The sequence below is a fragment of the Homo sapiens genome, chromosome 20 (genome assembly GCF_000001405.40).
Source record: "Homo sapiens chromosome 20, GRCh38.p14 Primary Assembly".
Classification (NCBI taxonomy): domain Eukaryota; kingdom Metazoa; phylum Chordata; class Mammalia; order Primates; family Hominidae; genus Homo; species Homo sapiens.
Window position 1 is genome coordinate 32,182,558 of NC_000020.11, and position 26,122 is coordinate 32,208,679.

General features: G+C 50.4%; 2 protein-coding genes and 1 pseudogene across 9 annotated transcripts in view, besides 9 other annotated features; 1 reads left to right on the top strand and 2 right to left on the bottom strand.

Annotated features, from left to right (window-relative positions):
• Nucleotides 5,697-6,512: an enhancer, noted in NCBI's record as "H3K4me1 hESC enhancer chr20:30776057-30776872 (GRCh37/hg19 assembly coordinates)". NCBI's record gives its function as "activates a minimal SCP1, AML or CMV promoter by ChIP-STARR-seq in naive H9 embryonic stem cells {active_cell/tissue: H9 hESC(naive)}" and the evidence as "EXISTENCE:reporter gene assay evidence [ECO:0000049][PMID:30033119]".
• TSPY26P (testis specific protein Y-linked 26, pseudogene) lies at nt 6,589-7,803 on the bottom strand (annotated as a pseudogene). Its single transcript, NR_002781.1, is given in 1 exon segment — nt 6,589-7,803. The product of NR_002781.1 is annotated as a testis specific protein Y-linked 26, pseudogene (transcript).
• Nucleotides 7,611-7,890: a silencer, noted in NCBI's record as "silent region_12777". NCBI's record gives its function as "represses an Ori minimal core promoter by ATAC-STARR-seq in GM12878 lymphoblastoid cells {active_cell/tissue: GM12878}" and the evidence as "EXISTENCE:reporter gene assay evidence [ECO:0000049][PMID:35858748]".
• Nucleotides 8,765-8,962: a silencer, noted in NCBI's record as "fragment chr20:30779125-30779322 (GRCh37/hg19 assembly coordinates)". NCBI's record gives its function as "represses an EF-1alpha promoter that drives an FKBP-Casp9 reporter gene in an ReSE screen in K562 erythroleukemia cells {active_cell/tissue: K562}" and the evidence as "EXISTENCE:reporter gene assay evidence [ECO:0000049][PMID:32094911]".
• PLAGL2 (PLAG1 like zinc finger 2) lies at nt 9,947-25,186 on the bottom strand. Of its 4 annotated transcripts, none has more exons than NM_002657.3 (3): nt 25,084-25,186; nt 19,362-19,735; nt 9,947-15,125 (listed from the first exon to the last, which is right to left on the bottom strand). In NM_002657.3, the coding sequence occupies exons 2-3, from the start codon at nt 19,619-19,621 to the stop codon at nt 13,895-13,897; spliced, it is 1,491 nt and encodes a 496-aa protein (NP_002648.1). In that variant the 5' UTR covers nt 19,622-19,735; nt 25,084-25,186; the 3' UTR covers nt 9,947-13,894. The 4 variants fall into 4 exon arrangements, with proteins under 4 accessions (NP_002648.1, XP_047296156.1, XP_011527166.1 ...); XM_047440200.1 differs by lacking the exon at nt 25,084-25,186 and adding an exon at nt 23,739-24,006; XM_011528864.3 differs by lacking the exon at nt 25,084-25,186 and adding an exon at nt 22,537-22,646.
• Nucleotides 13,746-14,508: an enhancer, noted in NCBI's record as "H3K4me1 hESC enhancer chr20:30784106-30784868 (GRCh37/hg19 assembly coordinates)". NCBI's record gives its function as "activates a minimal SCP1, AML or CMV promoter by ChIP-STARR-seq in primed H9 embryonic stem cells {active_cell/tissue: H9 hESC(primed)}" and the evidence as "EXISTENCE:reporter gene assay evidence [ECO:0000049][PMID:30033119]".
• Nucleotides 23,192-23,241: an enhancer, noted in NCBI's record as "active region_17712". NCBI's record gives its function as "activates an Ori minimal core promoter by ATAC-STARR-seq in GM12878 lymphoblastoid cells {active_cell/tissue: GM12878}" and the evidence as "EXISTENCE:reporter gene assay evidence [ECO:0000049][PMID:35858748]".
• Nucleotides 24,973-25,392: a silencer, noted in NCBI's record as "silent region_12778". NCBI's record gives its function as "represses an Ori minimal core promoter by ATAC-STARR-seq in GM12878 lymphoblastoid cells {active_cell/tissue: GM12878}" and the evidence as "EXISTENCE:reporter gene assay evidence [ECO:0000049][PMID:35858748]".
• Nucleotides 24,973-26,070: a biological region, named in NCBI's record as "H3K27ac hESC enhancer GRCh37_chr20:30795517-30796430".
• Nucleotides 25,157-26,070: an enhancer, noted in NCBI's record as "H3K27ac hESC enhancer chr20:30795517-30796430 (GRCh37/hg19 assembly coordinates)". NCBI's record gives its function as "activates a minimal SCP1, AML or CMV promoter by ChIP-STARR-seq in primed H9 embryonic stem cells {active_cell/tissue: H9 hESC(primed)}" and the evidence as "EXISTENCE:reporter gene assay evidence [ECO:0000049][PMID:30033119]".
• The window catches only part of POFUT1 (protein O-fucosyltransferase 1), a 30,779-nt gene continuing 29,979 nt past the window's right edge, over nt 25,323-26,122 (top strand). For all 4 annotated transcript variants that reach the window (XR_007067447.1, NM_015352.2, XM_047440079.1 and 1 more), the window contains exon 1: nt 25,323-25,508. Coding sequence is in view for 2 of the 4 variants with exons in the window: in NM_015352.2 (NP_056167.1) it covers nt 25,385-25,508 (124 nt within the window). In the remaining 2 variants the exon portion in view is untranslated. The remainder of the gene's footprint in view (nt 25,509-26,122) is intronic.
• Nucleotides 25,533-25,662: an enhancer, noted in NCBI's record as "active region_17713". NCBI's record gives its function as "activates an Ori minimal core promoter by ATAC-STARR-seq in GM12878 lymphoblastoid cells {active_cell/tissue: GM12878}" and the evidence as "EXISTENCE:reporter gene assay evidence [ECO:0000049][PMID:35858748]".

Consider the following 26,122-nt stretch of genomic DNA (forward strand, 5'->3'; position numbering starts at 1 on the left):
GGCCACGTGGCCATGTCTCTGTAGTAGGAGTCGGGAATGGGCTCCGGGACATTTATTGCCTCAATTCCAAGACTGCCTGGAAAAGGGCGGTACTGCCTTGGGCAGTAGAGAGTTCCTATCGCTAGAGATACAAACCCCAGAAGGGCCTTCAGCAGGCATCTGATGCCTTCATACATGCTGTCGCCTCGCCCACCAGGAAGACCCTCCTGAACCTCAAAGATGTGACACATGCATTCATTCATTTCACAAAGAACTACTTGTGCCAGGTGCTGCTCTAGGTAAGGGGGATTTAGCAATGAATAAAACAAAGTGCCTCTGGGTGTGGCGGCTCACGCCTGTAATCCCAGCACTTTGGCCAAGGTTGGCAGATCACCTGAGGTCAGGAGTTCGAGACCAGCCTGGCCAACATGGGGAAACCCCATCTCTACTAAAAATACGAAAATTAGCCAGGTATGGTGGTGCATGCCTGTAATCCCAGCTACACAGGAGGCCGAGGCACAAGAATTGCTTGAACCCAGGAGGAGGGGGTTGCAGTGAGCTGAGATTATGCCACTGCACTCCAACCTGGGTGACAGATCCAGACTCCGTCTCAAAAAAAAAAAAAAAAAAATTCCCGAAGAGTGTAGAGAAAAAAAACAGATAAAATGAATATACAATGTGATATCAGGTGGTTGTTAAGTGCTATAACAGAAAGGGGACAGAGAGTGACAGGGTGAGTTTTAGAAAGGGTGGTCGGGGAAGGCTTCCCTGGAAGAGGTGTAACTAATGTTTGAACTGATAAACTTTAATGAAGGCAGGAGCCGGCCATGCAAACATCTGGAGAAGCAGCGTCTAGGCAGAGGGAAGAGGAAGCAAGGTCTTCAGCCAGGTTTGAAGACTAGCAAGAGGCTGGTGTAGACTGGGCATGGTGGCTCACACCTGAAATCCTAGCACTTTGGGAGGCCAAGGTGGGCAAATTGCCTGAGCCCAGGAGTTCAAGACCAACCTGGACAACATGGTGAAACCCCATCTCTACAAAAAATACAAAAATTGGTTGGGCATGGTGGCACACACCTGTAGTTCCAGCTACTCAGGAGGCTGAGGTGGGAGGATCACCTGAGCCCTGGGAGGTTGAGGCTGCAGTGAACCTTGATCGTGCCACTGCACTCCAGCTTGGGCAACAGAGTGAGACTCCATCTCAAAAAAAAAAATGGCTGCTGGAGCTCGAAAGTGGTCTGGCGGCGGAGAAGCATAGGAGATGAAGTTGGATTGGTGACTGGAAGTCAGATCAGGAGGGTCTTGCAGGCCAGGCAGAGCATGTTGGCTTTTCCTCTGTATATTGCAGCCATTGGGTTTGGAGCAGAAGGGCATGGTCTGACTCAGGCTTAGACAGCCACACTCTGCCTGCTGCACCCATATAAAGCCCTGGCACATGGTAGGTGGTTAATAAACTTTGGTGATTATTATCAATGTTCTTCAGCTGCACCATTGGACCCCGGAGCTCACTGAGGGCAGGGACCAGAATGGTCATCCATGCCTATTATAGCTGGTGCTAAGATGTGTGGATATATCAGTGACTCAGGGCATGAATGAGTGAGCAAGCTTGGAGTGGGTTCTGAGGAGGAGACTCATGCCCCCAGGGCAGGTGGGACATGCCGTTGGTGCCATGTAAAGGAAGCAAGCCACTGGCTATGCCACAGAGAGAACAGGTAGGCAGGTAAGTGCCCATTTTAGAAAAGAACCATTGCCTGGGCCCTAGGGGAATGCAGGATGCAGCTGGGCCCAAGTATGGCTGCAGGAGCCAACGCAGCCTGCAAACCAGCAGGCAAGAGTCAGGCAAACCACATGGGGCACCACCTCCTAGAATCACCAGGATGCTTACAGGCTCACCCTGATCCCCCCGGGAACATTAGAGGCAGTCATCTGGCACAAAACAGCACCCAGAGGGTGCAGCCTAGACAGGCACTGGTGCCCAGATTCTGGTTTTAGGCTGTACATGGGAGGTGGCAGACACTGTTGTGGGCTGGGGAAATCATGGAGGGCTTCCTAGAAGAGCTATAGCCTAGATGGACAGATAAGGTTCAAACTGAAGACACTAGGGGTCTATAACTGCAGACACTCCTCCAGACATGCCCTGTGAGATCACTCCACCTCTGAACCATGCCTGATACCCCTCCTCACTATCCACAGGATAATGCCTTGGCTTGGCATTCAAGAGTTCCTATCTTCAGAAAGTGGCCTCTTCAGGTATTGCTCTTGAAAAAAAAAATAATAAAAGATAAGTAAAAGAAAAAAGTGGCCTCAATCTACCCATTCAGCTTTGCCTCTCCCAAGCAGCCAAACCCACAGCACATGCTATACGTTAACCACGCCGCACATTTTCCCATCCAGTGCCTTCGCTCATGTTGTTCGCTCTGCCAGGAATTCCCTTCTCTGGCTCCACTTTCCAAACTACTGCCTATTCTTTAACACCCAGCTCGTGACCCAACTTCAGAGAAGTCTCCGCCCTCTGGTCCCACATCATCACATACCTGGTGAACTATAAGCCACGTTGAACACAGTTGGGTTTTGTCTCCTTGGATGACCGTTGGATACCAGTTACACCTCTTGCCCCGGTGTAATTATTAGTCGTGACCCTTTCATTCCCAGATATGTTCCAGCTGGATGGCAAATTAAACAGTCACCCTTCATCACCCACACCGTTCTCCACCCAACTCAAATCCTTTGGGCAGGAACTATGCCTTTGTCAGAGCCCAGCACAGTACTCTGTATGCTGGAATAAAGTCAGTCACTCATACCAGTAATCTTTGAGACACTGGACACTAAACTATGGGGAAGCAAAGCAGCAGAAACATGTGTCCCTGTTCTCCTGCCACATGTGAAAGGAGGTGGAAGAAGGTAAGAAAAGATCATTTCAGAGAGGCCACGTGCAGTGGCTCACGCCTGTAATACCAGCACTTTGGGAGGTGGAGGCAGGTGGATCACTTGAGGTCAGGAGTTTGAGACCAGCCTGGCCAACGTGGTGAAACCCTGTTTCTACTAAAAATACAAAAATTAGCTGGGTGTGGTGGCGGGCACCTGCAGTCCCAGCTACTAGGGAGGCTAAGGCAGGAGAATCGCTTGAACCCGGGAGGCGGAGGCTGCAGTGAGCCAAGATAGCACCACTGCACTCCAGCCTGGGTGACAGAGTGAGACCCTGTCTCAAAAACGAAAAAAAAAAATCATTTCAGAGAGTTACAAGTGACATGGAAAAAATCATGAAGGGAGGGGTAGAGGCTAATTTTGGACAGGCTGGGCAGGGAAGGCCTCTGAAGTGGCGTTTGAGGACTGAATGAATTGAGGGAGCCATGAGATGAGAATATCTGCAGGAGGAAAATCCTAGCTAGGAGAGGGAAAAAAGCAAGTGCTAAAATCCTGAGGCTGGAACATGCTTAGTGTGTTTAAAGAACAGGAGAGAGGCCAGTGTTGGGGGCACAGAGAGAGCAAAGCAGAAGTGGATGGGAGATGTTGGGAGGGACCAGCAAATGCAGGGCTTTGTCGCCTGCAATAAGGAATTTTATATATATATATATATAAATTTTTTTTTTGAGACGGAGTCTTACTCTGTCACCCAGGCTGGAGCGCAATGGCGAATGGCATGGTCTCAGCTTACTGCAACCTCCGCCTCCCAGGTTCAAGCGATTCTCCTGCCTCAGCCTCCTGAGTAGCTGGGACTACAGGCACCCGCCACCATATCCAGCACATTTTTGTATTTTTAGTAGGGATGGGGTTTCACTACTGGTGAAATCCTACTGGCTGGTCTCGAAATCCTGACCTCGTGATCCACCCGCCTCAGCCTCCCAAAGTGCTGGGATTACAGGCGTGAGCCACCATGCCCGGCCTATAGATACATATTTTTAACCAGTGTAGGGTTTTGGATGGGGAAGTGACATGATCTAAGTTATTTTTTCCCCAGACAGGCAATTTTTTATTTTTTATCATGCGTATAGAAAACAAAAGTGTCACAGATCCCCTTGTGACTGGACAAAGCCACCTCAGGAATATTTCTCTGCTTAAAAGAAGCATTGTCAGTTACAGTGATGTCAATTACAACCTGGCACAAAATCATCAAGACCATCAGGGTCACAGAATTCTTTCTGGAGGTTATCCTTGCAGAACACAGGCACAGCTTCCAGTCTGAAGTCCAACAAAACCAGAACTCTGCTTCTAAGTACAAGATTATGGTAAAGGCCCCAACAACCTGATAACAATTGTGAATAGTCACATAAGTTTCCAAGTGGCATAAAAAATGTACACTGACAATCTTGCAAAAGTTCTCAACTAAAAGCAACAAGCAAGCCTTTACAGCATAATGCCCCAGTGGGCTGAAACACAGGAGGGGATGCATAGGGTCTTACTTAAAAGCAGCAGAAGAAAAGCTTACATTAACTTTCTACATACACAAGGTAGGACCAAGAGAGAAAACCTCTAAAGTTGCAGTGTTCTGTTATTCTTCTAGTTTACAAAACATATTGGCGAATCAAAAATGTTAGCAAGGGCTGGGCGCGGTGGCTCACACTTGTAATCCCAGCACTTTGGGAGGCCAAGGTGGGAGGATCCCTTGAGCCCAGGAGTTAAGACCATCCTGGGCAACATAGCGAGACCCCCGTCTCTACAAAAATGTTTTTTAAAAAGCTGGGCATGGTGGCATACACCTGTAGTCCCAGCTACTTGGGAGGCTGAGATGGGAGAATTACTTGAGCCCAGGAGTTTGAGGCTATGATGCATCACTGCACTCCAGCCTGGGCAACAGAGTGAGACCCTGTCTTGAAGAAAAAAAAAAAATCAGATGGGCACAGTGGCTCACACCTATAATTTTAGCACTTTGGGAGGCCAAGGTGGGCAGATCGCTTGAGCCCAGGAGTTCAAGACCAGCCTGGGCAACATAGTGAGACCCTGTCTCTATGTATTAACCAAAATCAAGGGCTCTCCTCCTTCTACCATCTCTCAGCCATCCTGCCTTTTCAGCTGGCTCTGGTTCCTTTTGTACTTCCCTGCCAAAAGCACCCTCCACATTATTTTGTGATAAGGCCTCCCCAGGTCCTAGGGAACAGAAGATAAGGCCTTCCATGGGAAGGGGCCTGGGTATGGCCACTACCACCCCTTCCCCTAAAATGAAATGGAGACAGACAGCTCTGCAAGCAGGGGGAGGAGGGGGTGGGCAGCTCAGCTCTTATACCTAGAGGGGTTCGGACTTGGTGGAAGGGTAAGAAAGAGTTGGGGTTAGTCTAAAAGAACACAGCATAAAATGGAATATTAACTATCCCCGCTCTGGGGACTTCCTGGTCTCTCTGTTCAGCAGCCTTGGACTGTCCCCTTTGGAAGATTCTAGGCCTTGCTAAAGAGGGTAAGGTATAGGGGAAGAGAGAATGCTGGCAGTCTACAGGGCAAACCCTCCCTCTCTGGAGACGAAGAGAGGCAAACTGAACACGAAAGTCTTTCTTGTTGAGTTTAAGAAAAAATCTTTTTCTTCAGTTGTTATTTTTTGTTTCTAAGCCATCATTTAAAGAAAAAAATGGTGTGAGATCTGGGTATGGATAGACAGGCCCCAGGACCAGGAAGACCCCCTCCCCAGCACCCACAGCTTGGCAGCCTAACAGGTAGAGGCAGGGGGGCTGGCAGAGCACCTGGATTCTGTGGGGTCCAGTAACTGGGGCTCAGGAGGGGATCCCATCCTTGCCCCTGCCTCACTCACATGCCCAGATAGGCCAGTTTGGCAGAGTTCCTGGGGATTAGGGGCTCTCCTGTGCATTGGCAGGTGGCCCACCTGGGTCCACAAGCGGCTATGGAGGTTCCTGTAGACCTGGGGGCGGGCAACAGGGCTGATGGTGGTCTGGGCAAAACTCATGGGAAAGGAGATGGCTAGGCATTGGTGGGGCACGGCACAGACCCTCATAAGCTAGCAGCAGGCTGTGATGTCAGGCCACCGTGGGGCAGGAGGAGCAGTATGATCACAAAGAATGTGCTGTCCACTGCTTCATGCCCTTGACCTCACCCATGCCCAGCAGCCAGCTGTGTGCTCATCCTGCCAGATACCCAAGAGTCCACTTGGTGGTAGCCTGTGGTCTTGAGGCCATGGAATGTCCAAGCCTGGGTGGCACCCGGCACCAAATGAAGCCACTTCATCTTGGGTGATGAGACTCAGTTTGCCACAGCCAGGGTGTAGAGAGCTACTGTGAGCACGACCAGCAAGCATGCGAAGGCCGGCAGGCTGGAGTCTTGAAGCATAGGCCTCAAAGAGGCACTGTCCTCCAAGTAGTGACTTGTGGGTACCCTTGTCAAAAATGGCTGGGATGGCCACGGTCACAGGTCCATGCCGTAAAGATTATGGCAGTGCACATCCACAGCACTGGGTGCTTAGTGTAGACGCAGCGGCATGTGACAGCCACGTGATGTTAACACAGAACAGCAAGAGGCCATATGGAAACAGTAGAGACTGGCCACGAGGGCCACAATTTGAGAGCTGAGTCCACCGAACCACGCAGAGCGGGAGTGCACAGAACAGACAGCAGACAGCAGACAGCAGACAGCAGACAACAGAGCGCCCACCATGGGCCTGAGCCCAGATCCGCCACCCGTAGGAGGCATGAGGAAGCTTATGTAGGCCGCACATCCCAAGGCAGCACTTAGCCAGACTGGAACCCGTAGGGCCTAGAAGGGGTCTCCGTGGGCCACCTTGCGAGGCCTCCCCTGGCTCTGCAGGGCCTATCCCCCAGCAGGTAGTACTGCAGGGGGTTGGGCCACAGGTCATCTTTAATAATCTGGGCAACCCTGTCGGCCTCTGGGAGGCTGTGCTGTGAAAACCAGCTGAAGAAGCTTCGGACAGTGTCCCGGTTCCTGTGTACGAGGGCCGGGGGTTCCTGGCCCCAGTGCCATCGGATGCGAGTCGCAATAGACACCACTCGGCCTGAGGCTCTGCATTCATACTCCTTCACTATCACCTTGTTCTGGAAGTAGGGGTTGCTCCAAAAGCGGAACTTGAATTTGCAACCTGTCCTAGAGTGCCTGAGCTCCCTCACCTCCAAATTCATCAGGTAGCAGAGCATGTCTTCATCTCGAGGGCTGATCATGGCTGAGAGCTGCGGGTGGTTCAGGAAGGCGGTGACCCAGAAGCCCGGAATATTCTGGATGATGAAGCTCCTACGGGCGAGGTACAACCTGTGCATCCGCCCAAACCTGCGCTCGAGCGGGAGGTAGGCCCTGTCGGCCTGGGCGCTCACGGCCTCCGCCTCCCACTGGATGGCCTCCAGTGGGTCCACAATTAGGGCACCAAGGTTCAGGAGCCGCGGGCCCTCCTGGGCCTCCGCTGCCACCTCCTGCTTCTCCTCCCCCTCCTGCTGCTTCTCCACCTCCTCCGCTGGCTCCTTCTTGAAGATGGCGCCCTCCTCCTTGTTCGCGTCCTCGGCCTTCTCGCTGGCTCCTGCCCGAGTCCCTAGCCCCTCTGCACCACAGGTTTCTGGGGCTTCGTCCCGGACCCGGCCATTTTCCAGGCTCGGAGTAGTCGCCGTGGAGGCCGCTTCCCCGCGCCCAGGGGAAGGGAAGGCGGTCCCGGGGCCCGCTGCGGGGTGGAGGGACCCGCGCCCCCCAGCTTCTCGGGCCCGGGCCGCGGGGACCGTGCGCGCGTCCCCCTCCCGGGCAAGGCCGGGCGGCGGGCGCGCCGCGGCTTCTGGGGTCCCCGCCCTCTTGTCCGCCATCGCCTGCGGGAGCCTCTGGCCTGGAGGGGCTCGGGGCGCGCTGGCGACTGCGGGCTCGGCGACAGGGGCGGCTGGTGGCGGGAGGACAGTGGGAGGAAGGCTCCGCCCCACGCGCCCCCCTCTCGGATGTGATTCGCCGGGGTCTCCCGCAGCCGGGGCGAGCGGCTTGGAAGCCCGGAGGAGGGGTACGGAACTGCCCGATGGGGATGCGACCGCGGGCGCCAGACGAACTGTCCCCACATTCGTTGGCGCTGGCGGTGGAGGTGGGGAGAAGTGTGTACCAAGCAAGAGTCAGCTCGGAGCAAACACCAGGGGACAGGCCCAGTCGCTGGTCCTGGACAAGTAAAACTTTCCCATCACAACCACCACGCCAGGCGATTGCTCAGTGTTCCCCATCTGCGGTGGGCAGGCAGGAGTCGCCCGGCTTCCACACTCGAGTGGCGCTTTGGGGCAGTTGTAGGACACTCTCGGCCTTACAGGGGATAAATTACTCAGGCACATGCAGAGGGCTTAAGAGGTATCTCCTGCAAAGACTGACCAGACTGAAACTGGGAGCGGCAGATAATGGTAATTTTCTGACACACAAAGGTGATCAACACGTTCATGTAGGGAAAGCAGGTGCTTGAAATATTCATGTGGGGAAAATAAGCAAGGTCAGAGTGGAAGGATCTGGGGTGAGAGAGGGTCTTAAATGCTACAAACCAGGGAGCGAGTGGGCATCTGCCTGGTTTCCCCAACAGGAGTTGGTTCCTCCTGGGCTGGTTGGCAGAAGCGAGGTGGACCTTGCTTCACTTTGTGCTAGGCCCAAAGGCTACCCTTCCAAAGGTGGACTCTAGCTTGAAGTGCAGGAACTGTACCTGGCAGGCTAAGAGCTGGATTGGCCAGCCCTCTTAGTCCTCGATCCTGCAAATCTGTGTTCCTGTGGTCTCAGCTCCCAAACTGTGGCCTATGGAGGTCAGTACCTCCAATCCCCCTCCACCTCTGCGTGGAAGTCCTTGCCACCTCTTCCAGAAAGCTTTCAGCCTTTTCCTGACAAATGGATACAACAGCTCCCTCATCTGAGCCCTCAGACCTATACTGTGGTATACACTCCCTAGGGAGCAAGGTGGATTTCCTTAGGGTCCTAGCTAGGGTTTTAACCTACTGGGGTGGACAGTGAACATTTGTCAAGTGGAAGGTCAAAAATGAAGGGTCAGCCCACTTCCTTTGTACATAAAACACCTGCACTTGTTAACGGCCCCATAGGCTCTTGGCTGGACTGCAAGTGACTTGCACTGCTTGGCCATAGACACTGGCTCCAGACCACAGAAAAGCCAGTTCAGTCTGAGCCCCTGATGGGAGGATCTCAGCACAAGGGCTGGCACCCAGGATGGTGGTAACGACCTTCATTAGAGACCACCAAAGTCAGGTGAAGCTATGTAAGCCTCTCAGCAGTCTGCCTGAACCCGGTGGTTGGGCACAAGTATAGGTAAGGTCAGGTCCTAGCTGTCACCAGCTGTACACCTTGGGCAGTGACTAGGGTGAACATTTGTCCTTTCTTGGACAACCAGCATCAATTCTTCATCTTAAGAGTGCCCCAAATTTCCTTTGAGAAACCACTCCTGTTTCAGTCTTGTTGTCACTGGCATATGGTAACTGGTTTGGGGATGGCACAGAATCCCATCAAGGCCAATGAAACAGGATGCTTATTGGGGCTTCTGTGGTGAGTCCTCTCCTGAGAGCCCAGAAAGGGTTGCTTCCTTCTGGCTGGCAATGTGTGAGAATGGCAGGTCTGGAATCCAGGCAGCATTCTGCTCACTCCCACACAAAGGGGAAATCTACTTTGTAGGGCCTGTGGATGAAGTCACAACTACACAAGACAGAGCAGAGAGAAATAGGAATGCTGAGGCCAGCCATGTTGGAGCCACTGGATCAAGCCTAACCCAAAGACTGCTCTACATCTGGCATTTTCCAGTTACATGCAATTTCAGTGTTTAAAGCCAGTTTGATTTTGGCTGTCTGACTCTTGCATCCAAGATGATTAACTGATAGAATTATGCCACTTACCTCAAAGACATGCAAATATGATATTTAACTTAAAAGTACAAAGCTTATAGGTGCTGATGGGAGGGGTTTTTACTGTCTGCCCTACGCTCACCATCATCCTGGATGCTAAAGATGTCTGGAGACTCCAATTCTTCCCAATTCGAGGCTCTCTCCAACCGTTTCCCAATCAGACAGGTTCACAACTCCCAAACACATCATTCAGAAGTTTTTAATAAACAACTTCATTATAAAAACCTTTTTTTGAAAATGTAATTCTGTAAAACATTGAAAAATCTACTTTAACAAAGATATGCCCTGTGCATTTTCTAATGGCACTTATACTTTACAATTAAAAACCTTGTTTTATATAAAGCCAAAAATACTCCAAGAGGTTATTCACTGTGTTTACAAAGTGCTAGAAGATTTCTGTCTTGTACTTTTCTCTTTAAATAATCTGGAGTTACAAAAGAGTGGCTCCAAAGCCTTGACCGCTGGTAGGGAGGGAGAAGCATGAGAAGTGGTGTCTCAGGAGTTCTAGTGCCAAAGGTGGAGAGGTGCAAGTGGGAACAATCAGCTAAGGAAGTCAGCTGACACACAAAGAAATCGGACTGGAATTTTTCCAAACCCCTCTATGGAGGCACTAGGTTATCATGGTGAACACCCTTTTCCCTCGCCATAGACCCTACTCTCCAGAGGTGAAGGTCATGGCCAATTCCTTCCACAGCAGGTTCAGAGTTCCAGGAGAGGCCAGGGTGGGATCCCAGAGGAATCTGGACTTTTCTGGCCAACACCTGCCTAAGGCAAAGTTTCTTATTACATAAATATCCTTGTTAAAAAGCAAAATATTGATCCTGTACAATATAACCTGTTAAAAAAATCGTGCTTACAAACAGCTCCTAGATAAGAGGGCAGGTGGAGAGAGGACGGAGAAAACAGCTACCAAAAAGGGAGGGGGGAGTTTAAAGGACTACTAGGGAAAGTTTTAGGGCAGTGGGAGAATTCCAACTTAGGACAATATCTACGAGCAAAAAAGTAATCACACCTGCTTCCCGGATTTTCAATTAAGAAAATGCCATTTGTAAAAGGTTGGGCGGTGGGCTGGAGGGCGGGGGTTGCAGGGAACCTCATTGGCGCTCCTTTCCCTGCCTCCCACCTCAAGATGATGCAGAGATCCTTTGAGCTGACACCTGGGCATGTCATCCCCTTACCCCCAGGACTGTACTCAGCCCTGACCAGCTACTGTGTAGGGTGGGAGGGGGACAGCTCATTGCTGGCAGAGGCTGGAGGTGGCAGGGAAAGGGGACATCACTTTTTTTCCTGGTCCCTCATTGGTCTTTGTCATATGCCATGGCTCCTGTCCTGGGCAGATGCCCCTCAGGTTCTCATGGCCTCAGTAAGCATACTGAAGTGAGTTCGGGTACTGAGTGCAGGATAAAGCTATTCTTATCCTTTGAACAACCAGGCCACTAAGGCTTTTTTTTTCTTTCCCCCCGACCCCCCAGATTTTAGGAAGGGAGGTTTAAGAAATGACTGGCTAGCTATGGTCCAAAAAAAAAAAGGTGAAGGCAGATATTATTCCTCTGTACCAGCAAAGTTCACAGTGATAGGAAAATTCCTTGTGGGTGCTGAGGACACTGAGAGGAGGAAAGGAAAGACAGGATAGATGGGAGGACACAGGAGTGGGGAAGGCAAGGAGAAAAGACAGGAGGTGGGGGCAAGGCCCCGGTTACAAAGGGTTTAAACAGTTGCTTTGCCAGTCCTATGACTTTTCCAGCATCACTTACGGGGAGAGAGAATTCGAGGGAGGGACAGGAAAGGGCAGGCAGAGAGGAAAGGACTCCTCTAACAGCCCGGGACTTTGTATTCTGCAGCCAGAGGCCCAGTGGCCTCTGTAAACTGAGAGTGTAGGGAAGGTGGCAGTTAAGGTGAGAAGGGTTGCTGAGTCTAGTGATGAAAACCAGATACAACAAAGAGGATGGCAACAGCGAGTCCCAACTGGATTCTCACATACCATCACCTATAATACAAGTCCCAATAACATGCACAGCATGCAGGAGGTGGCTGCGTACCAAGGTAGACACTTTTTAAAATAAACCTTAATTAGTCCCTGGGACTCACTGAAACTAATTTTTAGAAGCAAATCATCTAGTCTGATTCTAACCTTGCCAGACATTTTAATATCTGGTGTTTTTAAAAAGGTATCCCAAGCTACCCTGCCTAAATCAAAACACACTTACTCCAAATTGCTTCTAATCAAGAGCTAGGGAGCTAAATTTTAAGGCTTTTACCTCAAACAAGGAGTACTGGCTTAGGCTGAAGCAGAAAGCTGAGTCCTGGACCTGCTCAGTTCCTGATGACAAACCAAGTGAACCTAGACAGAAGGTGGGTGAGGGAGGACTGGTAGGAGGCTGAGGCAATTCCTTGGTAGTTTGTCCTGAAACCCTACTGGAGAAGTCAGCATGAGGCACCTACTGAGAGAAGTGCCCAGAAACTGCTGACTGCATCTGTTAAGAGTTAACAGTAAAGAGGTAGAAGTGTGTTTCTGAATCAGAGTGGAAGCGTCTCAAGGGTCCCACAGTGGAGGTCCCTGAGCTACCTCCCTTCCGTGAGTGGGAAGAGTGAAGCCCATGAAGAACTGAGATGAAGCAAGGATGGGGTTCCTGGGCTCCAGGCAAGGGCTGTGCTCTCTGCAGCAGGGAGCCCCACGAGTCAGAAGAAAAGAACTAATCATTTGTTGCAAGAAACCTTGCCGGATACTAGCGGAAAACTGGAGGCGGGGGTGGGGGCACAGGAAAGTGGAAGTGATTTGATGGAGAGCAGAGAAGCCTATGCACAGTGGCCGAGTCCACTGTAAAGTGGAAGAGACAGAAGGGACATTGTGGATAAGGAAAATTTTGGTTTGGGACACAACAATGTACCCATAGATTAGGACTTAGCTATCTACCCATTCCTAACCTTCTGCAAACTCTTCTTCCAACAATTCCACAACTTCCCGGAAAAGGGACAGGTGGGAGGAAGACCAATGAGGGGCTCAGACTTCCTCCTTTGCTATCCACACCAACCCAGACTCTGCTTCCAAGACTAATAACAACAGCTCATGATGTTCAAGGTGGGGACTAGGGGATGGGGAGGTGACGGACGTGGGCATGCCTTTCATTTCTTCCCCTCTCCAGTTCAAGAGAAGGATGAGGGGGTCATAATGTACTTGGAGAAAAACAGAATTGCAGACCTGTGAGAAAACTGCTCCAATCCTCTTGCCTGTCTTCTGTGGATACCGCCGAGGCAGGCAGGAACAAATGCAGTCATGGAAGATGGCAGAGACTGAAGCAGTCCAAAGTCAGTTTATTTCCCCACGGGGGAAAAATGTGACCTCAAATGAAGAGAAGTCAGCAAGCCCCGACTCCACCTTGTAAACAGGACTCCAGTTAACACCAGGTACCAAATGGTTCAGGCTGGTGCCAACTGGAATGGACTGATGGGAATGGATTCACGGTGTGTAAACAGTGTTCACTGCAATCACTCTAAGGCTAACAGCTTGGCAAGGGAGGTGAAATGGTGTGTCTGAGGTGACTGTGTAAACGGTACCGTTGCTGGACAACACTGACTGAAAACGGAGGTGCTGGTACAGGAGGAATGGGTGGGCGAGAAATAAAGGCCTTCTCTCCTGCCCATTGGTTGGAAGCAGGCAATGGAGCCAAGTGACCTTCTACAGCAGGGCCTGACCAACTGACTGCTGTGGGGTCTGCAGGTTGGGACCAGAAGGTGGGCTTCTTGGGCAATTTCTCTAGAGGTCATCCAAGGTGAAACCCTCTGTGTCTCCAAGAGGCCTCCCCATTCTCCAAAGAGAAGGAGGTTCTGGCGCTTTGGAGAGGAAGAGGGCCAAGTGTGGCTCCCGATTCAGGTCAAAAAAATAAAAGTAAATAATACCTGAAGTCCTACGGTATGAGATCTTTTCACGGGGTTGGGGCTCAAGGCTCCTTCTGGAATCGATCCTAGAGCCTGAACCCCCAAACCAAGTGCTCCTGTATACAGACACTGGAATTTTTTTTTTTGAACCCAGCTCTGAAAGCTCAGCTGCCTTCATGGGGGACACAGACGGGGTGGGTACTAAGGCTCCATAACAGAGCCAAAAACTGAGCTGAGGGCCTCTGTGGGGGCTACTGGAATGCTTGATGGAAACGAGGCAGGGTGGTGCTACTCAGGCCAGACGTGAAGACAGGAGGCAAGGAGTGCAGAGGCCCAAAGTTCAGTGGTCCCCCAGCTCCTGGGGAATCTTGAGGCTGAGCTTGCAAAGTGGTAAGCAGGGGCTGTGCCTCAGCCTGGGAGTAGCCCATGACCAGGCCTCCTGTGGCCCCAGGTGGGTTACACGGGGGCAGGTTGAGTGGAAGAAAGCCCAGTAGGTGGGAGAAGTCCACATTAGCAGCGCAGAGGGCCTCAGAGAGGTTGGCGGGGCTCTTGGCAAGCAGTGCTTCATCTAGGAGGGCCGCAGCTGCCGCCGGCTGAGGTGAGGCGGGCTGGGGTTCAGCGGATGAGAGAGACAGGCTTCCAGGAAGCTCCGCCAGAAAACTATCCACCTCCACTTTGGGCAATTTGTCGGGCAAGTATGAGGTAGATCCAAGCTGGTATTTTGGAGGGAGCTGAGCTGGGGAAGAGATAGGTGAGGATTCCAGAGGGTAGCTCATACCCATGGGCAGCGTGTTGTGCACCAGGGAGTGTGGCACGCCCGTGCTGGGCATGGTAGGGATGTGGGCACCATACATGCCCATGGGCAACATGCCAGGGAAGGCCTTGGTCCCCATTACGTCCCGAGAGGCCATGCACAGCACAGGGCTCAGCTCTTCCTTCACACTGACTGTGGAGCTGCAGCTGAGTAGGCCTAACATGTCCACGGGCTCTGTCTTGATCTTGAGCAGCTCCTGCGAGTGGCTCTTCTTGACATGACGCGTCAGGTGGTCCTTACGGCCAAACCGCTGGGCACAGTACTGGCACAGGAAGTCCTTACGGCCTGTGTGCACCACTAGGTGCCGCCGTACATCCTTACGAGTATAGAACCGCCGGTCGCAGTGGTCACAGGGGTGCTTCTTCTCCTTGGCACCGCCTGCTACCCGGCGTGAGTGGGCCTTCAGGTGCTCTAGCAGGGCCTGGGTACTCTCAAAGGTCTGCAGGCACACCTTGCAGCTGAGGTCACCGCTGCTGGCAGCATGCATGGCCAGGTGGCGCCGGTAGCCCAGCTTCGTATTGTAATTCTTACCGCACTCAGAGCAGTGGAGGGCCTCTTTGTTAGGATCATGGGTCTGCAGATGGTTCCGCAGATGGTCCTTGCGGTGAAACATCTTATCACAGTACATACACTGGTGGGGTTTCTGGGCTGAGTGGGTGGCCATGTGCCTGGGGGTAGAGACAGGGGATAGGGGAGAAAGCAGAAAGAGGGGAGATCACAAGGGATGACTGGACAACCAAAGGTGTCCATTAACAGGAAACTAGATATAAAAACCATGGTAAAGGCTTGCAATGCAATACCAAACCAGTTATATTCTACAGATATCCTTGCCTATCTGCAAAATAATGTGTACCGACATTCTTTGCAGCATTGCTTGTAGTAGCAAAAAAAATCAGAAACAATCTGAACGTCCAATCTATCAATAGGGAACTGGTTACATAAATTATGATAAGTCCATAAAATGACTCAACTTTTCAAAAATGAGGCTTTTTGTGTACTTACAGGGAACATGCTCCTAAGAGACAGGAAGTAGAAAAAAAGCAAGGAGGCAGAATAGTGGATGTAGACTAGGACTCTATGTGAAAAGGGGAAAAATATATGTATGTTTGCTTGTATATGGCTAAAATATTTCTGGAAGGACATACAAGAAACTGATACCAGTGGCTGCCTATGCGAAAAAGAACCGAACAGCTTATAGATGGGTGTCATGGAGAATTTTCATCGTATAAGTTTTGGTACTTTTTGAATTTTGAATTACGTGAAAGTATTTCATTTTTTAAACATTACATTTAAATAATTTTAAATGATACAATAAAGAGAAAATAAAATATACCTAAACGTGCAGTCTGGGCACAGTGGTGCATGCCTGTAATCACAGCACTATGGGAGGGTGAGGCAGGAGGATCATTTGAGCCCAGGAGTTTCAGACCAACCTGAACAACATAGCGAGACCTTGTCTCTACAAAATCTTAACCATTAGATGGGCATGGCAGCATGCACCTGTAGTCCTAGCTACTCAAGAGGCTAAGGCAGGATTACTTGAGCCCAGGAATTTGAAGTTGCAGTGAGCTGTGATCGCACCACTGCACTCCATCCTGGGTGACAGAGCAAGACTCCGTCTCTAAATAAATAAATAAACTTCCTTATCTAGAACAAATTTCCAAGATATACAGGGCTAAGTCAAAAAAGGAAGTTCAATACAGTACATGTGATACAATCTGTTTTGAAAATAAAAAAGAAAGAGAATATACATGTTTGAATGTCTTAGGAAGGATACACAAAAACCAACCCACCAGCTGCCTTTGGGGAGAGGAATAGTGACTTCGAGTGTGAGGATCATTCATTCTTCACTGCATGCCAGTATGTACCACTTGAATTGCTTGTCATATAAACCAGTAACACTTTAAGAAATGTTTTAATGGTATGGCACTTCAGTGTCCCTTGGTTTACCTGATCCTATATGGTTGAAAAGTGGCTCAGAATCCAGGAACTGCAATTCACAGCTCCAGAGCATATTCAGAATCAACTCAGCACCCACTGTTTGCCAGGCTCTGCATAAGCTGTGTCATTAACCTTGATCTCCAGACAAGGAAAGGAGTCTAAAAAAAAGGCAGCCCCCTCACCCTAGCAGAGGCTGAATTTAAACAGGCCTTCGGAAGACCTATGTTCAGTCAGGTATGCAACAGCTGTCTCTCTCTCGTACAGCACTCTGTGATCCTTTCTACCTGGAGGGTATCAAACACACCCCCTGCCCACATCCCACATATGCATGCTCAAGAGTGCTCGTGCCTATGTGGGTTACTGTCAACCTCCTGTGATGGAACTGACGTGGTAATGTAGAGAGGGAGGTGCTGAGTGATCCACTTTTCATTTCCCTCATTTTGCAGGTGAGGAAACTGAGGCCCAAAGAGGTCTAGCAACTCACCTAAGATCACACAGTAAATTATATGTGATGAGTCAGGGCTCCTGCCTCCTGACCCAGGACCTTTCCTGCAGCCGCCCACTGGCAACCAGATCATCATTAAGAAAGTCTAAGAAGGCCGGGTGCAGTGGCTCATGCCAGTAATCCCAATACTTTGGGAGGCTAAGGTGGAGGGACTGCTTGAGGCCAGGAATTTGAGATCACCCTGCACAACACAGGGAAGAGATCCTGTCTCTAGGAAACATGCAAAAATTAGCGGGTGTGGTGGTGGTACATGCCTGTGATCCTAGCTACTCAGGAGGCTGAGGCAGGAGGATCACTTGAGCCCAGGAGTTTGAGGCTGCAGTTAGTTATAATCACGCCACTATACTCCAGCTTGGGCAAAAGTGAGACCCTGTCTCAAAAAAAAAAGAAAAAAAAGAAAGCCTAAGAGTATGGCCTTGACTGGAGTTCCCTTAACTTATAGGAGCACACAGAGAATCTAAGCACTCCTGAGGACCACAGAATTGTCAAGAGGGCAATCCTGACTACCATGCTACCCTGTTGCCTATTTTAGTCCCTTCCTATTAACTGTTTTCCAGATGAGGAACTGAGGCTTTGTGGTCATCTTGTTCATGTATTTACTTGTTTACTGTCTGTACCCACTATTAAGACCATAAACCCAAGGAGGACCAGCACCCCCATCTGTCTGGCTCACTACTCCGCCCCTTGCACCGAGCACTGTGCCTGGTACAGAGCAAGAGCTCAATAATGTTGGATAGATGAATGGATGGTTGGATGACTGTGCATCAGGCCAATCTATCTCATTTCTTTTTTTTTGAGACGGAGTCTCGCTCTGTCGCCCAGGCTGGAGTGCAGTGGTGTGATCTCGGCTCACTGCAAGCTCTGCCTCCTGGGTTCACACCATTCTCCTGCCTCAGCCTCCCGGTAGCTGGGACTACAGGCGCCTGCCACCGCGCCCAGCTAATTTTTTTTGTATTTTTAGTAGAGACGGGGTTTCACCGTGGTCTCGATCTCCTGACCTCGTGATCCGCCTGCCTTGGCCTCCCAAAGTGCTGGGATTACAGGCGTGAGCCACCGCACCCGGCTGATCTATCTCATTTCTAAAGGGCAAGTTCATGGTTCCTCTAATGCGAAAAGGATAAAATCAAAATTGCTCTTTTTTGTTTTTTTTGAGACAGTCTTGCTCTGTCACCCAGGCTGGAGTACAGTGGCACAATCTCAGTTCACTGCAACCTCCTTCTCCTGGGTTCAAGTGATTCTCCTGCCACAGAGTCCCAAGTAGCTGGGACTACAGGCATGTGCCACCACACCCAGCTAATTTTTAAAAAATTTTTAGTAGAGATGGGGTTTCACCATGTTGGCCAGGCTTGCCTCAAACTCCTGGCCTCAAGTGATCCGCCCGCCTCAGCCTCCCAAAGTGCTGGGATTACAAGTGCGAGCCACCACGCCTGGCCCAAAATTGCTTTTGACCATGCCTCCCCATCCTCACCAAAGCAACCAAAGCTGCTCTTCTCTATCTGCCTTATGTCAGGGCTTTTACGTTTAATTTCACTTTAAGTAGGGGTTCTTGGGCTTACAAGTTTCAGAAAAGCAGCTGCCCCAGTGGGCAACAGGGAGACAGACATAGTTAAATGAGTAAGTAGCAGGCTGATTCAGTAGAAGAGGCACTGCAGGACCTCTGAAGCTGTGTGACCTTGGGTAAGTTATGTCCCTACTCTGAACCTCTACTTTAAAATTTACAGACTGGGCCAGAAGGTCTACTTTTCCTTCTAAAGTTCGAATACTGATTCCTAACTTCTAGCTAAAATTCTGACCATCACCTGACAAAGGTGAGGAAAGCAATATTTAAAAAAAAATGTTCAGGGCTAAGTGCGGTGGCTCATGCCTGTAATCTCACTGCTTTGGGAAGCCAAGGCAGGAGGATCACTTGAGCCCAGGAGTTTGAAACCAGCCTGGGGAACACAGCCACACCCCCATATCTACAAAAAATTAAAAACAACCAGGTGCGGTGGTTCAAGCCTGTAATCCTAGTTACCTGGGAGAATGAGTCAAGAGAATCACTTGAGCCCAGGAATTGGAGGCTGCAGTGAGCTGATTGCACCACTGTACTCTAGCCTGGATGACAGAGCAAGACTCCCATTTCTTAAAAAAACAAACAAACAAACAAACAAAACTCAAGGCTGCCTGACATTGGCACCCAGATCGTCACTAAGAAGGTGTAAGAAGGCCAGGTGCAGTGGCTCACGCCAGCAATCCCAATACTTTGGGGAGGCAACCCATCAGATTCTAGTGTCTGAATCAAGCAATCTGAATCATTTTTTAGTGAGTGACTTCAACTGTTTGGCATTCAGGGTATACTTGTAGGACAAATTAACCTCCACTCTTCTGCCACAGATTAAAAACCCACACTAGGCAGAGTCTCTCTGCTTTTTCCCTCTGGGAACCTCAGGGCAGGAAGAGATATGAGAGTGTCACCTACCTATACAGCTTGTATTTGGAAGCAAAAGCCTTGCCACAGTGCAGCTGAGGGCAGCTATATGGTCTCTGCTCTGGTTGCGGGAGGCTGTGAGGCCTCAGCTTCTCCCCATTTGAGAAAGGTGTTCCCGAAATTTCACATTGGCACTTCACTTGACTCTCCGCCTCCCGGCCCCGAGGCCTGGGAACTAGTTTCCAGCCCACTTCCTCCTCCTGCTTTGCATCTTGAATCCAGGGGGGGACGCTGGTGAAAAATGTGGTCATGGCAAGGCTAATGGCAAAGGGCCATGTTATTGAGAAAGCCTCCCCATCCGCTCCACACAGGCTCTCAGCTCTGTCACAGCCTCCAACGCAGCTTTCAGAAAACAATCTCTTCACCTGAAACATCAGAACACCTGGTGTTAGGGAGCCCAATACCATGAGAACATGGGCTCTGGAAGCAGACAGATCCCGTTCCAATCCCAGCCCTTCCACTTAGAAGCTGTGTGACTTTCAGCCAATTACTTACTTCCCTGAGCTGTTTCCTCATTTATAAAATGGGCATAATAATCTCCTAAATTATAAAAATGTTTTGAGGATTAAATGAGATCATGAATATAAAGCATTCAGCAGAAGGCTGGGCATCCATTAAGTGCTTAGTGGTAGCTACTATTACTAGTACCATCTAGGCTAATAAGAAACAAGATAAACTGAGGAACCAAAAGCCCCAAAACTTCAAACTTTTTCTTCTGGACCTCACTTTTATATCCTTTCCATTGAACCTAGAGATAGCGGTTCCTCCTTCTTATTACCCTGGCACCTCCTCGTCCACTACTTTCCACAATTGTCCTCCTCATGGAGGTGCTAAGGAGCAATAAAATGCCCAAAAGGCAAGAGAGGAGGAAGGGGAAGCCTCTACTTAGGAAATTTACATCCTAGTCAGTCCTGGTACCAGATGTGTTTCTTAGCAGTGCATCAACATCAGGAGGGTCTATATGGGAAGGCAACAGCAGATTCTTAGCATTTTCCCTAAACCAGGACTAGAACTGGTCCCATCCTGACCACCACCACTTCTCTGGGTCACTGTGTCTCAGGGCCCAGACCATCCCTCTTTAGCAAAGCCTGTCCAACACCCCTAGGTGCTGAGAGGCCCCTCCTACAGGGCCTCAGAGTACATATGCACATCTCCTTTAGAAGACGGTAGCGAGCTCGCATTGGAATTTACTCCTCTCCACCAGCCTGATTGTCTGAGGGCTTGCATCATCTCTCTTTCATCTCTATATACCTAATATCTAGAAAAGGAACCCTAACTTTATTTCAGATAGGTAAACTAGTCACTGAATGCAGGTTGATTCTCAGGGACCAACCTAGGCCCAGGTAGTTCTGGTTTAAACTGGGTTCGCAGCCATTCCCAAGTGGGGAGCCGAAATCTTAAAGTCTGATTCTTTCTCTTGTTGAATAGAAGGGGAGATGTGCAAGAACGACACAACTCCATTCCAGATACTAATCCAGAGGAAGAGGATGGGAGTTACCACACTGACTCTCAAAAGGGGACAAGAGACCCACATTCATACTCCCAAGCTTACCACAGATTACCAACCACGATGCAACCTGCTACAACAGGGGGATTCCCTTTGAAGAGATGGTGCCAAAATTTGATCATGAGGCTTTTCCATGTGAAGAGAGAAAAGGGGGTGTCTGGGGATTATCCACGAGAATCTGGGGAGGGCTCCAACTGCACAAACTAGCTGTGGGCCACAGAATGCTTGCTCAGCTCATTAGCACCTGCTGCTTACAGTGACCATTCATCCAACAGACTGGCCGTGAACAAGATGATGGGATCAGCGGGTTCATGCCCCAGAGAGCTTTGCTCATCATTAACATGAGCTACGTCCTGTTCAGGAACCATTCCTCTTGTTGAAGAAACACTGCGATGTAATATGATAAACACGTCCCCATCACGAGTGTAGATTTGTCTAGAAAGATCTGCATTAAGGTGGCTGCATTTTGCATGAATCACATGCTGGGGAGGGGTAGGTAGCACTAAAAACTAGTCCCACTTGAGCCTTCAAGTCATTATGGCATATGTGCCTGCTTCACTATAAACCTCAAAGGCCTGTGACGTCTGGCTTTCATTGTTTAAGTCCCCTCCTCCTTTGCAAGGGTGGAATTACCTGTTTGTAATACCAGCAATTACTATGCACCTTGGAATTGAGCAGAGAGTGTGCTCGAGTGTGCATGTTTAGATTGGAGGGAATTACCCCTACCTTCAAAGTCAAATTCTACTCCCCCTTCAATTTGAAATCATGCACCTCAGCCTCTGGAAAGTTGGGAATGGCAGCCAGAAGGAAACAAGTCACATCAATTTGGCTGATGTGAGAGAGGAGCCTAGCCCTGGAAACTCCACACAAACTCAGAAAGAGAACATTACGTCCCCACCTCCCACACGTCCACCTCATCTGTTCTCCTGAACAAGCACAAACAAGACACAATAGTTTAGTAGGCTGCTACTGAAAGAGTGAGTAATGGGCTTCTAGGAAAGAGGCTGGTGGTGGCTAAGGAGCTTGTACTGATAGAACCAAAGGAGGAAAGCAGCAGCCATGTGCTCACCTTGATCTGCTTTTAATGGGGCTATGTCTTCACAAAGAAAAGAGCCAACACCCTGATCCTACTCTCCTACACTTTTCAAAAGGCACAGGAAGTCCCTACCTACAGTCACCAGCAGCCTCTTGGATAACCAAAGCTGCTAGTGTTACCTAGGAACCCTTTTGGGGATCTAGTCTCTCTCTGCCCTTTGTCTGAAAACTCCTCTGATCCAGAAAGATTCCTGGGTTTGTCTTACATAAGCAGAAGGCCTGTTCCTTCAGACTTGTCCTTCCTCAGCAAAACTGTGAAAGAATTCTACTTCTCTTTCAAAGCTGCTCTTCTGGTCTCACATTTTAATCTTAACAACTATAGACTATAGAGAAGCTGACAGAACCTGTTTCCATAAAACAAACACAATCCTTCCCAGTTACTGGCACAACTCAGTATATTTTCAGCCTAAGATTCTTTCTAGTGCCTGATCTGAAAGGGGAAAGAACCTTGGACTTGCTATCAGAAGAGCTGCCACTTACTGGCTGGGAAACCATAGGCAGGTTACTTTATTTCTCTGAACCTCAGTTTCCTCAATTTCTAAAATACGGATTTATTTTCCTTACCTGTAAGATTCGTATAGAGGATTAAATGAAATAATACTCTTGAAAGTGGCTGATACAAAATGTGTGCTCTGAATACATGCAGTGCCTTCTCTGAGGTCTCGGCTGTGTCTGCCTCTTTTTCCGCATGAGGCCTGAATAGTACTTCTTTTTTTCCTCTTTAATGTTACTTCTCAGGCCTCAGAGTGAGTTTCCTTCCTTTCCCAACATCTCCCCCAGAATGCAGTCTTCCCCTTTTCCCTCACAACTAACCCTCGGCACATCCCCTTTAAAGAGCCCCTTACTTTACCTCCCTCCAGGCACCATCTCCTGGGCCAGAGTTCTCTCTTAAGCAGAGAGCCACTTTCCTATACTCTCTTGTATTATTAGGGCTCCATATCCCAAACAGGAATGCTTGCTAAAAACTCTGTATGGTCCTCTTTGAAAGCTGAAACTGAGACATATTTCTCCCCAGTCTGTCCGTCCCCTGTTATGGGCCATGATGCCTGCTGCTCTCTGATGAAACTATAGTTTTTATGGTGTTACATCATCTCTATAGAAACTGCGTTCTTTCTCCATTATTAGCCTGTTTCCTCATCTGTAAAGCTAAAAATACTTACCTCACAGGCTTGCTGTAAGGATTATTTTAGTGAGGTATGCAAAGGGCTCAGCACAGAGCTTGGCCTGCTAGAAGTACCCAACAAAAGAGAGCTATTATCTTTGTCTTTGTATTGAGTTGCATGTTTCCACCTTCTGCTGCCACACTCAAATTCTCCTCACTCCCCCCTAAAAAACAGTTGAGAGATAACACCCCTGCACAAGGAAAGGGTTAATCTTTGAGTGTTCTTAACTAAAGAGACCCACAGAGGATTAACAGCTCCACTTCAGTGACTACCCTAAAATAGCTTTTATCCTCCTGCCCAAGAGTTACTTGGGGATCTGAAGAACTCAATTCAACACCTGCCGGAGGAAATAGACCCAGAACGTTCCTTGGGATAGAATCTTCCCTTAAGCAGAACCCAAAATAGCAACTGGGAAATTATAAATAGACTTAGAGGAAAGAAAAAACAAAACAAAACAAAACAAAAAACAGATCCTGATCTCAGAACCAGAAACAAATCCTAAAACACACTGGTTGGCTGGAAAACAGTGAGAAGAGGGGAAATGGGAATGCTGTCGCCCCCTTCCCCCCCGCCCACTCCAGAGTGGTGGGAGAATTAAATTACAGGGAGGCTGGAGAGTCTCAATGACTTGCACCATTCCAAGAAACATCAAACAGGATTAACAGGGGTTGGATTTACTCTCAGGCTGCTAATTCTTCTGTCAGTGTAGATGGGCCCTCTTTGGAGTCTCTTTGATTCACTATTTCCTCAGATTCCTGCTGCCTCCCACTCCTGGGGAGGCCTTGAACAAATGGCTGCAACTCATCACAACCCCATTTTCATGGGGAGAAAACGTGATTCGACACCCCCGCTCCCAATCTGGTGGCCTCACCTTAGGAGAGAAAGGTTAGAAACCCAAGACCAGACTCTACACACAGTCCCATGGCTGACAGGTGGAAAAACACACAAGCCAGGAGACAGGCTAAGCTTGCAGGTGAAAGCACCGATTCCCCCACACAGGTGTCCCCATATCCTCCACCTAACAGGCCCCTTTCTCCCCACCAAGGTGGGCCACAGCCTGGTCCCAGGCCAACTTTTAGATCACCCCACTGTGGTGTGGGAAAGGTTCAATTCCCCGAGCCTGGGAGAGATGGGAGTGGATGAGGGCTGGAGAAGCAAAGGAAATCCAGGGAGAAGTCTGGAGGGAGTCTCTGGGATGGGAAGGAAGAGCGAGGATGGGAAGGAATCATGAGCAACTTTCCTGGGTCTCTAAGGGATCCCCACAAGAATGAAATGGGGGATTATAAGGGCTGGAAGGCTGGGGGGATGGGGATAGTCAGAAGTGTATCCTCTGAATTTCAAGAGGGTCTCAAAATGGGTAACGGGATGGAAGATGTCGAAAGCCTGGGAGTATGGCCACTGAGGAGGGAACTACAGGTGGGGCTTATTCGACTTCTCCAGACCCAGATATTTGAGGGAAGCCTCAAAGGGAGTTATGTAAGTCTGGAAAATGAAACAGGGTACAGAGCGGGCTATCTGGAGCAGGAAAGGGGGTTATGTGGGTCTGGGTAGGCGTGTCGGAGGGAGGGAGCAGGTGCAGCTTATCTGCGTCCCCCAGACCCGGGTCCCTGGTAAGGTCAGCAGCGCCTTATCTGGGTCTCCAGGGAGCCTAGGGGTCGGGAATGGGGGACCCTCAGGACTGCGTCTCCAGGTCTCGGAAGGGAGGGGACCGGTGGCTTCCTCGGGTCCCCCAGACACAGGTATGGGGTCCAGGGAGAGTTTTCGTCACCCCAGGGCCTATCTGGGGCCGGGTTGGCGCAGACCGGGCCCCGGGTCGGGGGTGTGGGCGACCGCGCTGAGGGGCCCGAGATGAGGCGCGCCGCCGCTCCGGGTACAGGGCGCGCGGACGCAGCGAGACGGCCTCCCGCCCCTCTCCCCGCCGTCCCCTGGGGCCCTCGCCGGCACTCACCGCGCTCGGGGCCCCACGCTGCGGGCCGGGCCGCGCTCGGGCTCCGCCAGGCCCCCTCAGGCCCCGGTAGTGGCGGCGGTCGGGCCATTGTGCGGTGCATTGTGGGAGCCGCGCGAGCGGGCGCTCGGGTCGTGGAGGGGGCGGTGCCGCGGGATCTCTATGGTCCCGCCCGCCCGCGGGCTAGAGCGGCCGGGGCGGTGCGCGGGCGGCGCGCAGGGACCGCTGGGAGCGGGGCGGGCGCTCGCGTCCCTCCTTCCCTCCCCGACTGTGCGCCGCGGCTGGCTCGGGTTCCCGGGCCGACATGGGCGCCGCCGCGTGGGCACGGCCGCTGAGCGTGTCTTTCCTGCTGCTGCTTCTGCCGCTCCCGGGGATGCCTGCGGGCTCCTGGGACCCGGCCGGTTACCTGCTCTACTGCCCCTGCATGGGTAAGGCCTCCCAAGCCCTCTGCTCAGATGGAGAAACTGAGGCCGGGAGAGGAAAAGCCACTCCTCAGATGCGCCCAGAGACACCTTCACAGGTCCAGGAGAGAACCTCAGAGCGGGACGGGGCATGCTCTTCTCCTCTCTGCCTTAGTTGCAAGGGCACAGAGGGGCCAACGTGTCCAACTTTCCATTTGACAGATGAGAAAACTGAGGCTGGGAGAGGTTACGTGACTTGCTTGAGGTCTAAGCCAGTCCAGGGTCCAGTAAATGGAGTTAGTGGGGCAGGACTTGATGTCACTGACCCACGCTGGCTCCTGGTGATTTTTCATTGATTCAGCAAATATTTATGGGGCACCTATTCTGTGCCGGGCCCTGTTCTCTGTACTGGGAATACCGCAGTGAATAAGATAAACTCCGTGTCCTTGTAGAGCCTTCATTTTAGTTGGGGAAGACAAACAATTGAGAATAAGTAGGCCAGGCGCGGTGGCTCACTTCTGTAATCCCACCACTTTGAGAGACCGAGGCAGGATCACTTGAAGCCAGGAGCTCGAGATCAGCCTAGGCAACATAGTGAAAATCCAATCTCAAAAAAAAAAAAAAAAAAAAAAAGCAGAGCG

Bases quoted from the DNA above. Each gene is read 5' to 3' on its own strand.
- PLAGL2 (NM_002657.3), bottom strand. From the start codon at position 19,621: ATGACCACATTTTTCACCAGCGTCCCCCCCTGGATTCAAGATGCAAAG. The intron at 15,126-19,361 runs GTAGGTGACACT...CTCTACCCCCAG, and splicing joins TCCAAATACAAGCTGTATAG to GCACATGGCCACCCACTCAG.